This window comes from Homo sapiens, chromosome 14, assembly GCF_000001405.40.
Source record: "Homo sapiens chromosome 14, GRCh38.p14 Primary Assembly".
Classification (NCBI taxonomy): Eukaryota; Metazoa; Chordata; class Mammalia; order Primates; family Hominidae; genus Homo; species Homo sapiens.
The window spans coordinates 97,422,746-97,443,505 of NC_000014.9; the positions used below are offsets into that span (position 1 = coordinate 97,422,746).

The 20,760-nt window shown below is 44.2% G+C and overlaps 2 annotated features.

The window, feature by feature from the left end:
- Positions 17,329 to 17,829: an enhancer, noted in NCBI's record as "H3K4me1 hESC enhancer chr14:97906411-97906911 (GRCh37/hg19 assembly coordinates)". NCBI's record gives its function as "activates a minimal SCP1, AML or CMV promoter by ChIP-STARR-seq in primed H9 embryonic stem cells {active_cell/tissue: H9 hESC(primed)}" and the evidence as "EXISTENCE:reporter gene assay evidence [ECO:0000049][PMID:30033119]".
- Positions 19,739 to 20,068: an enhancer, noted in NCBI's record as "active region_9000". NCBI's record gives its function as "activates an Ori minimal core promoter by ATAC-STARR-seq in GM12878 lymphoblastoid cells {active_cell/tissue: GM12878}" and the evidence as "EXISTENCE:reporter gene assay evidence [ECO:0000049][PMID:35858748]".

Consider the following 20,760-nt stretch of genomic DNA (forward strand, 5'->3'; position numbering starts at 1 on the left):
ACATAGGTGGTTCCACATAAAATATGAAGGTTCACCATGTCGTAATTTGAAATCATGCCAATCAGAATACAGATGAAGCAGAGGGTTTCAACTTTGTCCTGTCAAGAGAATTGTACATTGTATGGATGTCACAGCTACATTGCGCTTCCTTCTTAGTCTGGACAAATGACATGCCTGCCACCTTTTTCAGGATTACGCATGTCGTGTGAGTTTTGAACTTGGTAAGTTCATCAGGAATGAGGACCTTCAGAGATATTGTTGGGAAAGTGGGAACTTCCAGTATTGTCAAGAATGCCTGTGAAATTGTTCGCAGGACACCTGGCACTCCTCAGGGTCACAGGCACCCAGCATCTCCATGGGTCACCTCAGTATCACCCTTAGGAATCTGTGCTGAGGCTTCCTCATGAAAGACATGGGGTTTCTCTCCTCATCAGGCAAGCATAAAATTTGTTTTCTTTCGAAGCACGAGAACATTGCTGTTTATTTAAGGTATGAGTCTAGAAGCAGAGTGTGAAGTATTTCATGCTTTCTGTAGTAAACCAGAATGAATGATTATTTTCCATTTCCGTATAGTTTTTTTAAATAACTAATTAGAAAAATTAAAAAGTTTAAATATGAGCATTTTCCAAAGTCTAGTTTCTATTAATAACTTCTTTTTAAACTGAATAAATGGTTTGTCATGCCTTGCACAGAAATTGTACAAATTAAATCAAATTTAATTCAAAAGAATGACAATTTCAGTTGTGTTAAAGATAGCTAATTGGGGCTGGGCACGGTGGCTCACGCCTGTAATCCCAACACTTTGGGAGGTTGAGGTGGGTGGATCACTTGAGGTCAGGAGTTCGAGACCAGCCTGGCCAACATGGTGAAACCCGGTCTCTACTAAAAATACAAAAATTAGCTGGGCGTGGTGGCACATGCCTGTAATCCCAGCTATTAGGGAGGCTGAGGCAGGAGAACTGCTTGAACCCAGGAGGCGGAGGTTGCAGTGAGCCGAGACCGCACCACTGCACTCCAGCCTGTGCAAAGAAGCAAGACTGCATCTCAAAAAATAAATAAATAAATAAAAAATAAAATAAAATATTTAATTGGTGCTGTAAGATTAGATCCAGTTGGTTGTAATTTGGGGAAAAATATTAGAGATCTGAGGTACATTTTCCAGAATTGAATTTCACAATATAACTTTCATCACCACGTATACCAGGACCTGAAAATAATATTGAAATTTCTTGTCTAAAACTTGTGAGGGAGGTATATGTACTGATTCTATCTAGAATTCTGGGCTGAAACATAACAACGCTGAAATTTTCAAGGTTAATTATGTTGGAAGCCTAAGGCTGGGTTGGAGCAGGCGAGGGCTTTTAAAACAAAAATAGAGGAAACAAAATTGTAGATACATCTTTGAGGGGATATGTTTTTGTGTCAGTGATGCATGTTTGGAAAGAGAGAGGGAAAAAAGAGAGAGAGACAGAGAGGGAGAGGCAATGCTACAGACCTCAAGAATCAAATTCTTTTTAAATTTGCACGCTACAAATATTCTTCATTATAAAAAATGTTTCCGGGCTGTGCCTGATGCCAATGTGCATTTCTTCTTGTTATTATAATCCTTGTCTTCACCTGTGATATGTTAGATTATCTTGGAATGTTAATGCTTGGAATACCATAGGAAAAATACTTGGAAAGTACTTATAAAGTAAATAAGCTTTCATTAAATATAATTGTCAAGCATTAATCATTATAATGCTACTCCCTATGGGAATAAGGGTGGATATTCAATTTGTTTTGATTACGCATGAGTTTTAACAGAAGCCTGGTTTGCTGTATTCCTCACAACAAGTCTGCTTGCGTCTGAGTCCAGGAGCCGGTAAAGAGAGAGCCTTCTGTTTGGGTTGTGAATGAAAATCAGTCAGTTTTTATTGTGTGCAGGGAAGTGATAAATATTTTGGAAAACAGGAAGAGTATTTCTATACCACACCTCCATCAGATCTAGAGAGAGCTCCGTCTCTGTCATCCACACTGCCTCATGTACAGGTGCTAATATTTTTATGCTAAGCAGTGAGATTGGGAACTTTTCATCAGAATCTGAAAGAGGTACAAACATGCTGCCAGTTGTCACTGACAGCTAGAATCTTTTTTTGGGAACTCCTACTACCTGAATTTCCCAGGTAATTTTTAGGTGAAAATGTCAATCAATTCTAGACAAATTCAGATCACCCCTGTGAATGGCACCTTGAGTCTTCTTTTATAAACCCACTGTTTCGTCTCCCCCTTACCCAAGAATGTTTTCTAATAAACATTCCATGCTAAAAAAAAAAATATCTGAAGCCTACTGATGATGGAAATGAGGGTAGAGTTCAAAGTGTAGCAGTGGGGCAAGGAAAAGGGAACTAGCATTTACTCAGCACCTACCATGTGTCTTCATGCACCAGAAGATGAGAGGTTAAGGGTCTTACCTTCAAAGTTACGTAGTTGGTAAGTGGATTGCTAGAGTGGCACCCCAACTGTTTTCACTTCAAATCAATGCTCTTTCCTCTAAAGCATTTGTTTTCCTTTACAATGAAGGTTTGTTTTTATAACAATTGAGGCAAATTCAGTGTTTCACTAGGGAAAGGAAATGATGAAGAATAATGTGAAATTGGTTAAACAACAGAAACTTATCAGACATACAGGGGATAGATCTCCAGCTTCCCCGACAGGGCTCCCTTGCACTCTCCTGCCTTCATTTTGTCGAAGTCGACCTCACCCGCAGGTCAGGAAGGCACCTGCTTAGTGATGAGCCCTGTGCTAGGTTCTGGAAAGGAGCAGGGGACACAGAGATGAATGAGAGCTCCCCTTTTCCTCAAGAAGTCCACACTCTCTCATTAGGAGAGATGGATATGCCATTCATTTATGTTTTAAGCATATACTGAATACCAAATACTGTGGCTCCATAGGACTGGGCACAGTCCCTATGTTGAAAGGCAAGTGAAAAAAACATTTGGGTCAGTAGAATATGACAATCAGTTATAACCCAAGCCTTGAGAGTGGGAAAGATGAGAGTTATGGGGGATCCACCCAGACATCTTGGAAGGTGGGGTGGGATAAAGAATATGTCCTGGCCGAGCACAGTGTCTCACACCTATGGTCTCAGGACTTTGGGAGGCTGAGGTAGGCGAATCTCTTAAGACCAGAAGTTTGAGACCAACCTGGGCAACACGGCGAAACCCCATCTCTACTAAAAATACAAAAATCAGCTGGGTGTGGTGGTGCATGCCTGTAATCCCAGCTACTCGGGTGGCTGAGGCAAGAGAATAACTTGAAACAGGGAGGCGGAGGTAGCAGTGAGCTGAGATCACGACATTGCACTCCAGCCTGGGTGTCAGAGCGAGACTCTGTCTTAAAAAAATAAGGAAATACTTCCTGGAAGAAGTGCTTAGGAATTGACCTGATAAGATAAGGAGAACCATAATGGCAGGGAGGAGAGAGGTGATTTGGAGTGGTTTGGGAACCCGCCCACAGTTCCAAAAGGCTGAAGGTAGATATTATGAGGTTTGAGAGACACCCAACATGCCATCACAGCCCCTGCTGGGGAATTTTGGATTTTATTGTATAGTTTCTGGGGCTGCAGTGAAGCAATTTGGTCTGGACAGGGGCATGGTCGGTGGGGCATCTGAGACCTGTTGTTCCATTGGGGGTTGGTAATGAGGAGTTGCTGTGGCTGAATTGTGTCTTTCCCACCCAATGTGTATGTTGACGCCCTTAACCCCCAGTGTGTCAGAATGTGTGTTTGGAATGGAATCTTTAAAAAACTAATTAAGTTTTGGGAGGCCGAGACAGGTGGATCATGAGGTCAGGAGATCGAGACCATCCTGGCTAACACGGTGAAAACCCATCTCTACTACAAATACAAAAAATTATCTGGGCGTGGTGGCAGGTGCCTGTAGTCCCAGCTACTTGGGAGGCTGAGGCAGGAGAATGGCATGAACCCGGGAGGCAGAGCTTGCAGTGAGCCGAGGTGGTGCCACTGCACTCCAGCCTGGGTGACAGAGCAAGATTCTCAAAAAACAAAACAAAACAAAGCAAAAAACACAAAAAACAAAAAACAAACTAATAAAGTTAAAATGAGGTTGTTAGAGTGGGCCATGAGCCGGTATGACTGGTATCTTTAGAAGCAGCAGCACTTAGGATAGGGCCTCACACTGACTGAGGAGCCCCTGTGTGAGGTCACAGCCAGAAGGCACTACCTACAGGCCAACCCTGCTCACGGCTTGACCTCTGACTTCTAGCTTCCAGAACTGTGACATAATAAATTTCTGTAAAGCCATCCAGTGTGTAGTACGTTGTTATGGTAACACAAGATAAATACGAGGGTCAACCAGGGACCCCGGAGAACAGGTAGGAGTGTTTTGCTGGAGTGGTCCTGATGTGGGATGATGGCGGCCCAGATGAGAGGGGTGGCAAATGAAACAAGCAGAAAGGAGAGATGTAGGCCATGGAACAGACAGAAGAGGACATGGCCAGTGAGTGAATGTAGGTGATGAGGGAGGCAGGAAATCTGAGACGATGCAGGTTTGGGGAAGGGGTGATTTGGGTAGCACCATTCGCAGAAGGCAGAATCATGGGCTGATTGATCAGATAACTGATCAAAGGCAAGAAGCAGGAGAATAAAGTCCTGTAGGAGACAAGAGGGAGGATTCAGACGTATGTTACTTCTAGTCCCTGATTCTTTTCAAGGGTAGTCTCTGGACCTTCTCATCCATTCCCAGCTCCTAGTACGTGGGCAGTGAGATGGGAGAGGTGGGTCACTGCCCCACTGCCCACCATGCTTTTGTAATGCTCCCTGCTCACCCGTTCTGTGCTTTAGCCTCTACACCTCCACGTGAAATGTGGACAATGAACTGAAAGGACACCCCAGGCCCCTTTCCTAGAGCTGAGCAAAATCTGCTGTGGTCCCCATGTGTTTATGTGCTGATCACCTGGGTTGACAGTGGAATCTCACCTCCTTATTTCCCACTTGGGAATTGTCTTCCTCTACAATTCTTTCCTATTTCAACAATACAAATAAACTCAGAGCAAAGTCTGTGGCTGTATTTCTTTTGTGTCTGCAGCAGGCCCAATCCTTGTTAATTAATTGCAGAACTGAGCTGATTGCCAGACTTTATCTGGCATTCTTACGAACACTGGTTCATTTTAGTGACACTTTTTTTTTTTTTAGGCTTAATCAGAATGGTTTTAAACTTGGCTTCCCCGTTCTTAAGGAACTCTTTATTGTTTCCTCCTTGGAATTCCTGGAGCACTTTGAAAGTTCTCTGTAGCATCCCTTATCTTGTTTTCTGATAAATGGGTGTTTTTCATCTTTCTCTTTTTGAGGACAGATACTACACTTTTATTTATCTTCAGCTCTTGGTAGAGCAAGAAGACTTTGAAAAGTATTTAATTGAACATAACAGAATCAACCAAATGAAGCCATATTGTCATGCTTGCCCAGTAGAATTCCAGCTGACACCCTTCTTTGATTGTTGGTTAATTCACTGACACTAAACATATGCTGGGCCCCAGCCAGGCAAGGAGAAACAAAATTGATTATCATATAGTCCCATCCCTGCCTTCAGCAAGCTTCCAGTCTAGAAGCCCATGAAAACTCTCACTTGAGGTGTATATCAGTCAGCTCAGGCTGCTGTAACAAAATACCACCAGGTAGCTTAAACAACAGGTAGTTATTTTTTTACAGTTCTGGAGGCTAGCAGTATGAGATCAAGATGCCAGCAAATTATATTTCTGGTGAGGCCTCTCTTATTGGCATGTAGACTGACACCTTTCTGCTGTGTTACCGGGTCCTTCCTCTATATGGTTCTGGAGGGAGAAAGAGAGAGAGAGAGAGCGAGAGAGAGTGAGCAGGCTTTCTGCTGTCTCTTTCTTTTCTTGGAAGACCACCAGTCCTATCAGATTAAGGTCTCACATTTATGACCTTCCTTAGCCTTTATTACTTTCTTATTGGCTTTATCTCCAAATACAATCACACCGGGGGCCAGAGCTTCAACATATTAATTTTGGAAGTAGGACAAAATTCAGTCACTAACAATGTGTTTCTCATTCTTCTTCTTGACAACCCTTAGAAGTGGGTGCTTTTACTGTCTTCTTTTTTGAGATTTGGAAGTTTAAGTTGAGTCCCAGAGCTATTGGGAGGCAGAGCTGAGCTTCCAACTGCAAGGCTGAGACTCATAATTCCTCCTTCCTGCTGAATGCTGCGGGCCCCTGAGTCAATGGGCCATAGCCAAAAGTTTGCAACATCTCTCCTCTACTACTATGTATTTTGTTTAATCAAATGTAATGAGGTTTGTGGAAGCAGTAAACTGAAGTTATTTTCAAGTAGGAACTGTATTTAGCACTGTTAATTGAATCAGTCTAGTTAGTTAGAATAGAACAGTGGCTGTTTGCCCCATAATAAGGAAATTGAGCTTCTCATAAAACAGCTAATTCATGTCCTGTTACACTGTAGAGCATACCACAGGCTGAGGACCCAGAGTCCCCCACAGTCCAGCCTCAGCTCTGCCTGGACTGCAGTGTGGCTTTGTGCAAAGTCATGGCATCCTCGGTGTCTTCAGGCCTGATTGGCATGAAGAGGGAGCAAGGGAAACTTGGCTGTCCAGTGGAGCTGGGTGTACATGATCCATTGAATCCTCTCTGGGCCATTCTAATGGTGGGCTATTGTTCAGATTTTACAAATGGAGAAACCAAGTCTCAGAGGGACTAAGTAACAAGATGAGTGAGATTGTGGACATAGAAGCATGTGGAAGACTCTCTGTATCTCATGTTTTACCTGTCCTCATGTTTTACCTGTCTGACAACTGCATCCCAATGTCACCCTTTAGGGGACATCGATAGAATAAAAATAGCTGCAAACACTTGTCTACCTCTACTGAGATAGAGAGTCTAATTCCCCATCCTTGAATTTGGCTGGCCTTAGGGACTTACTTGACCTTGAGAATGCAGTGGAAGTGATGTTCTGGGGCCATGAGAAGACTTGTCTCTTCTGCCCTGGACTCTTAGAAACCAGGTGCCATGCTGCATTTTTTTGAGGTGAGAAACGCTATGTCCTCAGATGGCAGAAGGGCAAAAAGGGGTAAATTGTCTCTGTCAGGTTTCTTTCTAAGAGCAACTAATCCTACTCATTATGGTGGAGCCCTTGTGACTCAATCACCTCCCAATGGCCATACTTCCCAATATTGTTGCATTGGAGATTAAGTTGCAGCATGAATTTGGCAGGGGACACCATCATTACAACCTCAGCAGTGCAAAGAGGCTCACCAACTAGCTGCACTTGGATGAGTTTGTGAAGCTTTAGATCCATAGTCCCACGGCCCACCCCTGGAGAATGAGGTTTCCAGGTGGGGGCCTGTGGAAAACGTCCCTGAAGTTCTGATGGCCAGACACAACCAGGAGCCCCTGGTCTTCCTCCTGCAGCACCTGTCCATCAATATCCTTGCCAAGTTCCCTAGATGTCTTCAGGTTCCATGTTTGGCCTCTTTTCCTGGAGGCCCAGCTCCTTGAGGGTGGGCGCCATTTCTTTAGTATTTTTTCCCTAGCTTGCCACCCACCCTAGCACAGTCTGCCATCCTTCCGTGAGTGTCCCAGGAATATCTGACAGCTGTCAGCTGGAAGAATGACTGTGTCGACTCCCTTGTTTCCTAAGATGACCATTTGGCCATGGGTTCTACCTCACAAGACCCATCGTGTTGAGCTGGCGTTCATTAGCCTGCTGGGCCCGCATGGAAAGTGTCTGTAAGCGCCCAGCAGCAGGACATCCTGGTGATGAAGGCAGAGGCTGGTGGGCAGGCACCCTGAGCTCAAGCACTAGTTCCTTATGAAGGAAAGGAACAGCTTTGGGCGAGTGGGCGACACTCTCCAGGGCTCTGTTTCCTGCTAGGAGAAAAGGGTTTAACAACAGTGTCTCCCTAAGGGTGCCATGAAGATTAAGGTAATCCTGCAATACCTGGACAATGACCATCGTTTAGTAAACTGATGGTAGCAATATTCTCCACCTTGCCACTTCAGAGCTACACAGACAATGACTATGCTTCCAGTTTGTCCCCAGAATAACAATTTTTGTTTCTCATACCATTCTTCATCTGATCTGATAACTGTTCTTAAGTGTTCTGCAAGACCTTCCAGGATGAGTCTTTTCCTGTAGAATTGAGACATCGGAGTCCAGGCCAGAGAAGGGCAGGGTTGCTGGTGAGAGAGCCATGTGGTACCTAAGGGAGGTGGTGTGAAGGGATCACAGCCAGGTGACCCCTCACCACAGTGAGCCGCTTTCCCAACAGGCTGGACTCCTTGGGACTGCAAGAGGAAGGACAGGAGGGCCCAACCTCCATTCATCAGCTTCCTACCGACATGTGCAAGTCCCAAACGCTTGGGTGGGAAACTGGAGGTAGAGACCAGACTTCTGGCAACCCAAGATGCTGGAATTCATTGGTATTTAAAAACACTTCCTTGCCCTTTTTCATTATACAGTCTAACATTTAAAGACTCCAAAATCACTACTGATTAGTACAATGCAACGTGGAGAGCTTGGAAGAGGTGTTGGAAAAAAACACTTCACTAAGAAGTCATAGTCTGAGTTGATGCATCTTGTAAATAGATAATTTTTCATAAACCACTTGAACCTCTTGGCCTGGCCTATTTGCTGAAGAATTGCAGGTTGCTGGTGAGAAATGCCATTCTCTGTTGCCTGAGCCATGCAGTTTGGCACTCTGGAGTTGCATGTGGACATTCAATGTTGTATTGTTTCAGATGCTTCTCCAAGGGCTTGCTTTGTGTCTGTTGTCTCCTCAGCTCCAGTAGAGAGGGGTGGGTTCTGTCCTGCTTCTACAGCCCCTTACGGTGCCTGGCCTTGGTCTAGCAACATAGTAGGTGCTTTAAAAGTACTGGATGAGGCCAGGCACAGTGGCTCACGCCTGTAATCCCAGCACTTTGGGAGGCTGAGGCAGGCAGATTGCCTGAGCTCAGGAATTCATGACCAGCCTGGGCAACATGGTGAAACCCTGTCTCTACTAAAACACAAAAAATTAGCCGGGCGTGGTGGCATGTGCCAGAGGCTGAGGCAGGAGAATCACTTGAACCCGGGTGGCGGAGGTTGCAGTGAGCCGAGATTGCATCATTGCACTCCAGCCTGGGTGACAGAACAAGACTTGGTCTCAAAAAAAAAAAAAAAAGTACTGGATAAGCGGATTTGGAAAACTTGGGAGATTCTTTCTTTCTTTCTTTCTTTCTTTCTTTCTTTCTTTCTTTCTTTCTTTCTTTCTTTCTTTCTTTCTGTCCTTCCTTCCTTCCTTCCTTCCTTCCTTCCTTCCTTCCTTCCTTCCTTTCTTCTTCTTCTTCTTCTTCTTCTTCTTCTTTCTTTCTTTCTTTCTTTCTTTCTTTCTTTCTTTCTTTCTTTCCTTCTTTCTTTCTTTCTTTCTTTTTTTCAACATGGAGTCTTGCTCTGTCACTCCGGCTAGAGTGCAGTGGTGTGATCTGAGCTCACTGCAACCTCCGCCTCCTGGGTTCAAGCCATTCTCCTGCCTAAGCCTCCCAAGTAGCTGGGATTACAGGTGTGCACCACCATGTTCAGCTAATTTTTGTATTTTTAGTAGAGACGGGGTTTCGCCATGTTGGCCAGGCTGGTCTTGAACTCCTGACCTCAGGTGATCCGCCCAAAGAGCTGGGATTACAGGTGTGAGCCACCACGCCTGGCCTACTGTCTTTAACTTCTTACTTTACTGTAAAAGAAAATCCTTGGAAATCCATGGAACAAGAGAGGGAATGAAGTTTTAAAATAAATTTACTTATTGTATAACCACATTACTGAACATTTTGTAAAACAAAGGAAAACGAAAAACAAAAGATCATTCATACAGCCATGGCTGAGAGAAAGTTGCTGTTGGCCCTGGTGTCTTCTCTTAGGTTCCTTTCACCTGTTTGCTACTATTTCATGCTGTTGTAATTGTGTGTGTTTTAGTGTCCCTTGAGTCCCCCTTCACGTTACGGTGCTGTGGTTTAGACTTGTGAAGTGATGGCTTTGACCAGGATGGTGTGATTTCACAGAAGCAGGTGGGGTTTGAGTGACACTTGTTGGTGTTGGAGCCCTGTGAGTGACTCTGAGTGAGTCGTTTTCCTCTCTGAGCCGCAGTTTAGTGGTTCATAAAATTGGAGCAGCAGCCCATTGTTGGTTTCCTAGAGGAGCCGCACAGATGTGGGGCTCCAGTGAGAGAGACCCTACCAACGGGGGCAGGCTCCATAGGGGCCACTCTATGGAGTGGCCTTTATGAAACCCTTTAAGAGATGCATAAGAGGGGAAAAAACCAACCCTTCCTCCAAAACAAGAGCAAAATGCACACAAACTTCAGGGAGTAGAAACAGAAGGATTCCAAGTCCAAGGTGGATCCAGGACTGAATAATAATGGACCCCAAACCTTTCCTTTTCATTCTTCCTCACTCTGTTCATTATTTTAACACTTTCTCCATCTCTCCTTTCATTATCAACTTTTTGTACCAAATCGTCTTCCTCTTAACATTCTAACTGAGAATGCACAACATAGAGATCTGTTTGGCCAGAATAAAAATGTGAGAAGCTTGTATTTTTAAAGCTGTGCTCTGTGGTTTTAAAAACTGCTTCCATCACTAAGTAATAGGAGGGCCACTGGTGCATCCATGGCAAGATTGGAGAAGAAGGACATTTTTCAAGGCATTTCTACATGGGATCTGCTGAGAAAGGGCAATGACAATTAGCTCCATCAAGGCATCAATCAATCAATCAATCAATATCAAGTTAAATGGTGGACTATGGTGTTGGGCTGGCAGACAATATCTCCAATTAGATTTTGTTTTGTTTTGTTTTGTTTTGAGACAGAGTTTTGCTCTTGTTGCCCAGACTGGAGTGCAATGGCAGGATCTCGGCTCACTGCAACCTCTGCCTCCAGGGTTCAAGTGATTCTCCTGCCTCAGCCTCCCCAATAGCTGAGATTACAGGTGCTTGCCACCATGCCCAGCTAATTTTTTTTGTATTTTTCATAAAGACAGGATTTCACCATGTTGGCCAGGCTGATCTTGAACTCCTGATCTCAGGTCATCCACCTGCCTCGGCTTCCCAAAATGTTGGGATTACACACATGAGCCACCGCGCCAGGCCTCCAATTGGATTTTAAATGCAGTGGCTTTAATCCCTTAAATTCATATTTATTTGGACCAGTTACTCTGCATACATGTAACGGGTTTAGAATAGTCCCTAGGGCGGCCGGGAGTGGTGGCTCACGTCTGTAATCCCAGCACTTTGGGAGGTTGAGGTGGGTGGATCATGAGGTCAGGAGATCAAGACCACGGTGAAACCCCGTCTCTACTAAAAATACAAAAAATTAGCCGGGCCAGTGGCGGGTGCCTGTAGTCCCAGCTACTAGGGAGGCTGAGGCAGGAGAATGGCGTGAACCCGGGAGGCGGAGCTTGCAGTGAGCCGATATCGCGCCACTGCACTCCAGCCTGGGCGACAGAGCGAGACTCCTTTAAAAAAAAAAAAAATAGTCCCTGGGGCAGGACTAGAACTGAGTAAATATTAGCTGTTATTATAATAGCCATTATTATTATTACTGTTTTTATTGTCTTCACTCACAGAACATTTTGAGTCTGCATAAAGCAAAGGACCCACACGGCAACATAGGAGGGAGTTGGGTAATTCTTTTTCTTTACGAAGTGTCATTAAAAGATGCTATTGACAGTATTGGCAGCTTCATTAAGAAGTCTGTTGATGATGGTAATAAGGCTGGCACATTTGGGATTCAGATTGACACTTCTCAAGACAGTGGCAGAACTTGGGCTGGCACAGCAATGCCAGAATGTGTCTCAGGTTCTGGGAAGGGCTGGGTGTCTTCTAAGGGAGCTAGGTCTGGTTGGAGAGGCCCTCGCCTGGGGTGGGGGGTCTGGGGCCCCAGTGCCTGCTTAGCTAATTATTTTCTGTCTGAGGACTTTGTGCTCATCACTTCACTTCGCTGGGACTCAGTTTCCCAGCTGTAGCTGACAGCCTGCTCCACGATGAATTCACCCTCATATATCTGAGTCCTGGAGGTTCTGTCATGCCATAGGCACTGGCACTAACGCAGAAGCAGCAAAAAACCAGGCTTTTAGCAGAAGGTGTTGGCATAATATCAAATTTATGTTGTAGATTGTTGACACTGGAGATAGGTGAAGAATGGATTGGAGAGGGCAAGAAGAGACACTAGGAAAGCTTCGCCATCACCCTGGCAAAAGATGATGCAAATGAACCAAGACAGGTGCTGAGGATGGTGGGGGAGGGAGGCAGGCATCACCTCCACCCCCAGGACCAGAACACCCTTCCCCATGAAGAATATTCTGCATCACACATGAACTTGAAGGAGAAGGAAAGCTTAACAGAAAATAAGCAATCAAGGACCATTTGAACCTCCATGTTGGGTGAGATAGATGTGTGATAATCTGGGCTCCTGGGGCATTCCCTTCTATAACCTGTGAGTGGCCCAGGGTGCTGTAGGTCTGTCAACCAGGCTACTTCTGGGCTGTCCTTTCAAATCCTGAACATGGTTTTGGACTGCACCTCCTTCCTCCCTGCGTCTCTCCTCCCTCCCTCTTTTCTTTCCATTTTGCCTTTCAAGCAATGATCATTACACATCTTCTTTGTGTTAGACGCTGGACTTTGTGCAGAACCAACAATTGAACATCTAGCTAGTTTGGTGCTCCGTGGGTTACTGATTGAGAACCATTGGTTGGGTCTATCTTTAACATACTCGTTTCAGTGCAACATCTGCAAATAGAAAGTAGCTAATGGCCTTATCAGTCAGTAAGTATAATTCGGTTACAACAACATGTGATTTTTAAATGAGGCACAATCACTAATAGTGGTGTTAAAGACTGATCCCTGTTCATCCTTCTGCCACCAGGATGTCTGTCAGTCAGCCTGAGGTTGCTTCTTGGTCTTTTATCTGATTCAAATGTGAATGTGCTTTGGGAATAGGCTTGTACTCAAAATGTAAATAGGTGTTTTACTCTCCCTCTTAAAGCTATTACTATGTCGATAGATGTCTTGCTATAGTTAAGGGTCTGTCGGCATTTACATTAAGGAGTCTTATTTTCCAAGGCTTAAAATGCCATTAAAATCTGTTCGACTTGGTTGTTCAAATGACCAAATTATCCAAATTTCTTCTAAAAATCTAGTTGGTTTTTATTCATTGGGGAAAATATGCACATCATTGTAGATTCTTGGCTCCAGAAGACTTGTAGTGTTTCCAAGACTAACAAGCTGACATTTTTCATTCCTGAACCACATGTCTTTGGTCATTTTGACTTTTCTTTGTAAAAGTCCCTCACATTTATAGGGAGGCTGCTGTTAATTTAGGCAGTCATTAGGGTTATATTGGGGTAATTTCAGCATACACTGTGCTTTAGCTTTTTGAAGAGACAGAAAAAAGTGGGAAGATGTGTTGCATGTTACTGCATGCAGGGAACTCTGTGTGCATTTAAATGTTATCTCATTTAAACCACACAATAGCCTTTGGTGGTAGGAGCTCTAATCTCTCTTTCACAATGGAGGAGACTGAGGTTCTGAAATTTAATAATGATGTTGGAATTGTAGTTCAAGACGAGGATTAAAGCCCATGACCTTTGCATTCTACCAATACCTCATCATCAAACATCTTTGAAGCTGAGCGCTGTGGTGTGTACTTGTGGTCTTAGTTACTTGGGAAGCTGAAGGGAGAAGACTGCTTGAGGCCAGGAGTTCCAGGCTGCAGTACACTATGATTGCACTTATATAAAAAAAAAACTTTGTGATGGTTGTGCTAATCATGAAAGGTCAATCAAAACACAAAACCAAGGTCAAAAATTTTAAGAGACTACACTAATTCTAGGAGTTTTGACAGAATTTAACAATCTTCCAAAAGTTGGGCGTACTGTTAGCAAACCAACCTCCCTCTCTCGCTCTTTCCCTCCCTTCCCTTCTGCTTTCAACAAATATTCATTGAGCATGTACCATAATAAGCCTTATTATCATCACACTTAAATAATTATATTAATTTCTGCAATAATTTGCAATTAATAATTTCTGCTTCAGAGCTGTCACTCACATGATTTTTTCTGCATATGAGGTCCCGTTTAACCTCTGTCGATTCTTTAAAGCTCAGTGACTATTATTCTGGTTTGCCTGGGACTTTTCCAGTTTACTGTAAAATGATCAATGTTACCCTCTTTCCTGTTCAAAATGCCCTAGTTTAGATGATAGTCTATGTGATCACCCTATGATGGGGCTACATCTAGTCTTAGCTACTCAGTAAGGCTTTTACTGAGAATCCATTCCACTAATCTTAGGGGAGATTTTTCAATCTCTCTTCACTTTTCTGGTCAATCCTTCTGGTCAATTAGGTATTCTCTAAGTATTATGCTTATATTTATTTATATTGATAGTGTCTTTTGTTCTGTATCCTTGGTAACCTCTACGATAGGGATAGAGGATGTTCTAAAACGATCTGTTGAATTAATCAGTGATATGGTTTGGCTCTGAGTCCCCTGCCAAATCTCATTTCGTAGCTCCCATAATTCTCGTGTGTTGTGGGAGGGACCTGGTGGGAGATGATTGAATCATGGGGGCAGGTCTTTCCAGTGCTGTTCTTGCGACAGTGAATGGGTCTCGCGAGATCTGATGGTTTTAAAAACGGGTTTCTCTACACAAGCTCTTTCTTTGCCTGCTGTCATTCATGTAAGACATGACTTGCTCTTCTTTGCCTTCTGCCATGATTGTGAGGCCTCCCCAGCCACGTGGAACTGTAAGTCCAATAGACCTCTTTCTTTTGTAAATTGCCCAGTCTCGGGTATGTCTTTATCAGCAGCATGAAAATGGACTAATACAATGAGCAAGTGAATTACTTGGAAAGAACATTATCTTCCCCTCCCTTACTTTGGTCCTTTCCAGCACTTTTCCTTCTTGAAAACCCAGCTGTAAGCCCTTTTCTGCAAGAGGCCTTCTAGAATTCCCCCACATTAGTCGATTCTATTCTGTCTTCATCTGTTTGGGTGCTTATCCTAAAATATGATTGAAAACAATAGCACATATGTTTCTTCTGTCATCCCTCCTGGTGCCTAGCACATAATGATGTTCAAGTATTAAGTGAGAAGTGAATGAAGGTTTTCCTGAAGCACACTTCCTCACTGTGGTTTACCTAATGATCTGGGCACCTTAGGGAACTTTCAGACTGAGGCAGGCTAAGGTGTAACAATCATTTTGAATGACAGTAATTTCATTAAAACATTGACTGTAAAACCCTAGCAGGCAGTAAACAGCACTAATTAGTTCAGTCACAGTAACTGGCTAGAGATGTGCATTCTAATATACATATTTTTCTCACCCAAAACTTAAGTGCATATTTGTTGAGTTGCTCTATCTTTTAGGTCGGGGGTAGGTGGGTTAGTGGTTGTAATAACTGGGAAGGCTCTCTGAAGCTGCTGGTTTGATGGTTGGAAGCATGGAATTAGACATATGTATTAGTTACCTACTGCTGCATAACAAATTATCCCCAAGTTTTGCAGCTTCGAACAGCACACATTTTCTATCTGATAGTGCTTATGGGTTGGGAATCTGGGTGTGGCTTAGCTGGATGCCTCTAGTTCAGGGTCTCTCCCAAGGCTACAGCCAAGGTGTTTGCTGGGGCTATAATCATTTCAAGGCTCGACTGGGGACATTCTTTTTCAAAGCTCACTCATATGGCTGTTGGTAAGATTCAGTTCCTCGTGGACTAGTGGACCAAGAACCTCAGGTTCTCACTGGTTTTTGGCCAGAGACATAAGTCCATTTCCAACAAGGCTACCCACAGCATGGCAGTTCTCTTTGCTCATTACGAGGAGAGGGACAGAGAGAGACAGAGAGAGAGAGAGAAAGAAAGAGGCCACAAGTTTTTTTGGAACCCAATACCAGAGTGATCATAGTATTTTCCTGTACTGGAATCCCAAATGTGTTCTGGAACTACCTGGAACTATTGGAGATCCAGAAGTCACATGAGAAGACCACTGTCTGAGACTCACTGAACTGGCCTACAACCTGGGACCTCTCAATTAAATCTTCCAAAGCCCAGCAAGAAGACCTGGCTTATAATGTATTGGCCAAACTATTTAGCAGTTTTTGCAAGCAGATCTTTGTATGTTGCCCATCCCTTCCATCTCCTATACAAATGAACACATGTCCTTTCATTAAGTCCTCAGTGGGTGTATGCACTTCTGTCATGCATTCACTCATTGCAAAGGTAGGTTTATGAGACTTTTTTTTTTTTTTTTCTGAGATGGAGTCTTGCTCTGTCACCCAGGCTGGAGTGCAGTGACGCAATCTCAGCTCACTGTAATCTCCGCCTTCTGGGTTCAAGCGATTCTCCTGTCTCAGCCTCCTGAGTAGCTTGGACTATAGGCACACGCCACCACACCTGGCTAATTTTTGTATTTTTAGTAGAGACGGGGTTTCACCATATTAGCCAGGCTGGTCTCGAACTCCTGACCTCAGGTGATCCAAGGTGCTTGGCCTCCCAAGGTGCTGGTATTACAGATGTGAGTCACCGCACACAGCTGAGATTTTTATTAAATAAACACCATGGTACAGTTGCGAGGGTGGCTGAAGTTGAGTCCCTGCTCTGTGGCATCATCTCAGTTACTTATTTTCTTTGATCTTCAATTTCAATTTCCTGAGCAACAAAATGCAGAAGTAATGTTTCAAAAGACTATCAGGTGAATTGAGTGTGAGGCCAAAGAGAAGGCCCAGCATAGCATAAGAAGCTTAAAAGTGGGTTTAATGAACAGTAATTCTTCCTGTTCATTCCTTCCTTTTAACCATAGGCATTTTACTTTGCACAGTGAGGTGAGGGTGAGGGTGGGAACTTGAACCAGGGTCTCAGAAGATTATACAAAGTATAGCACATGGAAGATGTTCAAGGATCATTTATCAAATCAAAGAGTGAATGAACCCATGATGGAAGGAGTGAACACACAGCCTGAGCACTCAAGAAACTTCCAGACCCTTGGGTAGAAAGCATGGCATTGCCAAGGGAGCTCTCACAGATCACAGTGGGTTTCAGCCCAGGTGAGGGGAATGGGTATAGGAGGACTCCCAGGATGCAGGCATGTTGAAGAGGAAGCAGGGGCGCTTTAGGCCTTGGGGCTGGCAGGAGCAAAGGCATCTAGGCTGTGTTGTGCCCAGCACAGGACAGCAGCATAGCAGGTTGATTGGAGGATGCCAAGGAGCAAGACGGGAGCTCCAGGAGGAGGGACCCTGACTGTCAGGCTAAAGATCTGGTATCAGTCTGGCGACAGTGAGGGGCAGCTGGAATCCGGGCCACCTTTGGGACGTGCCCCTCCAGCAGGAGCAGTAGCAGCAGCAGCAGCAGCAGCAGTCATGTGGGCCGGAAGCATGGAGAGTCACCCTTGGTTTCTCAGACTGGAGGGAGGGCCTCCCGCTTCCCATTCCTGAGCACCACCCTCTCCGATTACTAACATATCACCCACCTCCATTTGGGATTTGAAAAATTCGAAAATATCTTATTCACACCTATGTATATCACTTCTCGACTTGAAGTCTAACATGCTCCCCAATTTACATATAATTCGTTTGACTCGTGTAAACTGCATTAACAAAAAGAGGAGCAATGCGATAAATTACTAGTGACAGAGGCCAGCCTGGATTGCAATTATTTTTATAAGCCCCTGGTAAGCAATGATGTCCTGTTTTTACAGCACATAATATCCCAGCATTATTGAAATGCCAGCAGCGTCCACGAAGCACATCTGTGCTAACCGGTCACACAGGTAGCAGGGCCATGAGAAAGTACAGTGGCTGGAGAGGCCCAGTCCTGCTCCGTGGCCTTGCAGTCATCATAGTCTGGTGCGCTGTGGTCCCCTCCAACAGGAGCGAGTTGGAGTGGAAGGCGTGCATGGAGATTGCAGCTGGGTGGGCTTGGATTCTGATCTCCTTATTATCTTTCTAGTTATAAAAATTGAGCAAACCTCTTCGTCTCTCCTGACACCCGAGTTTCTGGCCTATAAAGTGGGAATGCTAATAGGGGTAGCTCTCCTGTATTGTATCAGGGAAGGAGGAGAGACACGGAATATCTAAACTAACAATGATACCAGCTAATAGTTTGTTATTAATTTATTTATTTATTTATTTATTTATTTATTTATTTATTTATTTATATTTTGAGACACGGTCTCACTCAGTTGCCCAGGCTGGAGTGCAGTGGTGCAATCATGGCTCACAGCAGCCTCAACCTCCCAAGTAGCTAGCTGGGACTACAGGGACCCACCATCATGCCTGGATAATTATTTTTGGTATTTTTTGTAGAGACAGAGTTTAGCCATGTTGCCCAGGCTGGCTGGCCTCAACCTCCTCGGCTCAAACTATCTGCCCTCCTTGGCCTCTTGAAATGCTGGGATTACAGGCAGGAGCCACCGTGCCAGACAACACTAGTATTTATTGAGTATATACATGTGCCAGGCACAAAAGTATGTGCTTGAGATTTGTTTTCTGATTTAACACTGCGGGCTCCCCTCTGAAGCGGGTGTGATGAATATAATTGCTATTTTACAGGAAATGAGATGAAGAGGTAAAAAAGCGAAGTATGTACCCAAGATTACAGCTAAACTAGGACTTGAACCCATGTCTGTCTGAAGTCCGAGCTGAAACTTTGGCCACTAAATTGCCCTGTCTCACTACAGGTAAACGATCTTCAGAGCATCCTCACTTGCAGGAGGGGAGATGAACATGAGAAGCTCCCAGGGGAGGTGATCTGGGTTTGGGCACACTGACCCCAGGTGTGCTTAAGGATAGAGAGTTCATCTTCATACCTGCTAATCAGTTCTCTTGGCCCCAAAAGATGTACAGGGTGTGGTTGTGTGTTTTGCAAATCTGAATAGCGCAAATCTGAAATTTTGATTTATAATGTATCAATCATCTTAGTTTACGCACAGATTTTGAACTAATGCAAACCCTACTTTACATTTCCTGCTCCAGAGAATTAATCTTGAATTGTGCTAGTTTTGAATTATGTGAGGCCTTTGGGAATAGGCCTACATCCCTCGCAAGAAAATTAATCACCCTATAAATGACTTAACCCGCCTCTCAGGGCTTTGCGGTGGAGACTGAATGCAAGAATGCAAATTAAGTGACCAAAAACCCGCATTCGCAATACCTGAGTTTGCTCCCCTCTCCTAAGTGAGTAAACTCCACCCCAAAGTGGCCTCCAGCCCCCTGGTTCTTCCTTCCTGCTGCCTGCAGGTTTCCAAACTCCCCCTGGGGCGTCAAGTGCCAGCTCAAAGATCCCCCCAAAACTTGATCTACCCCACAAGCACCACTACTTCATGCAGGGCAGTGTGCCCCTGGTTCTGTCTTTGCCTTCTCATCAAGTCAGGGCCGGAAGACACATCAGTGTGTTCTCCCCATCACCGGTGACTGCAGAGAAGGGCCCAGCAGAACAAACACTTTTTTAAAACGCTGCAAATAGACAGGTGGATGAAAATTTTCAGATGTGTGAAATACTGTCTTGGGCCCCATGGCAATTTCTGGATCTAAGTTTGTGATTTCTAGTTTAATCTTTATCTTCTCCTCCTCCCACTGTCTCAGCATCTAGGCTGGGGATCTTTGGCCCACAGAAACCACATCTTTCTTGCTAACCTGTTGTCTTCTTTTCTATGCAACCCCACTGCTGGGGGAAAGGCCAAGATGGAGGACTTCATTTGATTTATTTTACAGAAAGCCAATGCTGGAAAACTCTGTAGTGGTGGGTGGTATTGTTTGACACCTTCCTTTTCAGGGGAAGAAGCTGAGACCCAAAGGGGCAACTTGAGCCACCTGAGGTCACTCTGTGGATAAGCAACAGCTCTCAGAGGTTTGCGTGAGACAGGCCGGAACTACTTCTCTCTGCCCTCCCAGGATCTTTGCATGACATGATATGAAACCAAGATTCTCAACAACCAAGATTCTTCTGTGGGGCCCAGCAGAAGTATCTGAGGAATCTTTTCAAAAATCTGCATGAACTTGCTAAGGCTGCCATTAACAAGTTCCACTTTTCTGGGTGGCTTAAACAACAGAAATGTATTTCCACACAGTCGTGGAGGCTGGAAGTCCAAGGTCCAGGCATCCACAGGTTTGGTCTCTTCTGAGGCCTCTCTCTGTAGCTTGTAGATGGCCGCCTTCTCCTTGTGTCTTCCCACAGTTATCCCTCTTTCTGTATCTGTGTCCTGATCTCTTCTTATAAGGACACCAGTCATATTGGATTGGTGGACTCATTTTTAACTTAATTACCCTTTTACAAATTCGATCTCTAAATACAGCCACATTCTGAGGTACTGGGAGGACTTGTTCTATTTGAATTTTTTTTTTTTTTTTTTTTTTTTTTTTGTGGAGGGACACAATTTGCTCATAATAATGTGTCCCCTGGCCCTTCAAAACTCATGTCCTTTCTGCGTGCAAAATACACTGACTCCATTTCAACGTGTTCAAAAGTGTTAACTGATTCCAGCATCAACTCTAAGTCCAAAAGCTCACCTAAATAGCATCTAAATCAGATGTGGGTGAAACTCAAGGTATGATTTATTCAGAGGCAAAATTCCTCTTCAGCTGTAAACTTATAGAACCAGACAAGTTCTCTGCTTTCAAAATACAATGGTGGGGCAGGCATAGCATAGATATCCTATGGGAGAAATCAGAAAGAAGACAGGAGCCACAGGTCCCAAGCAAATTCCATTAGATCT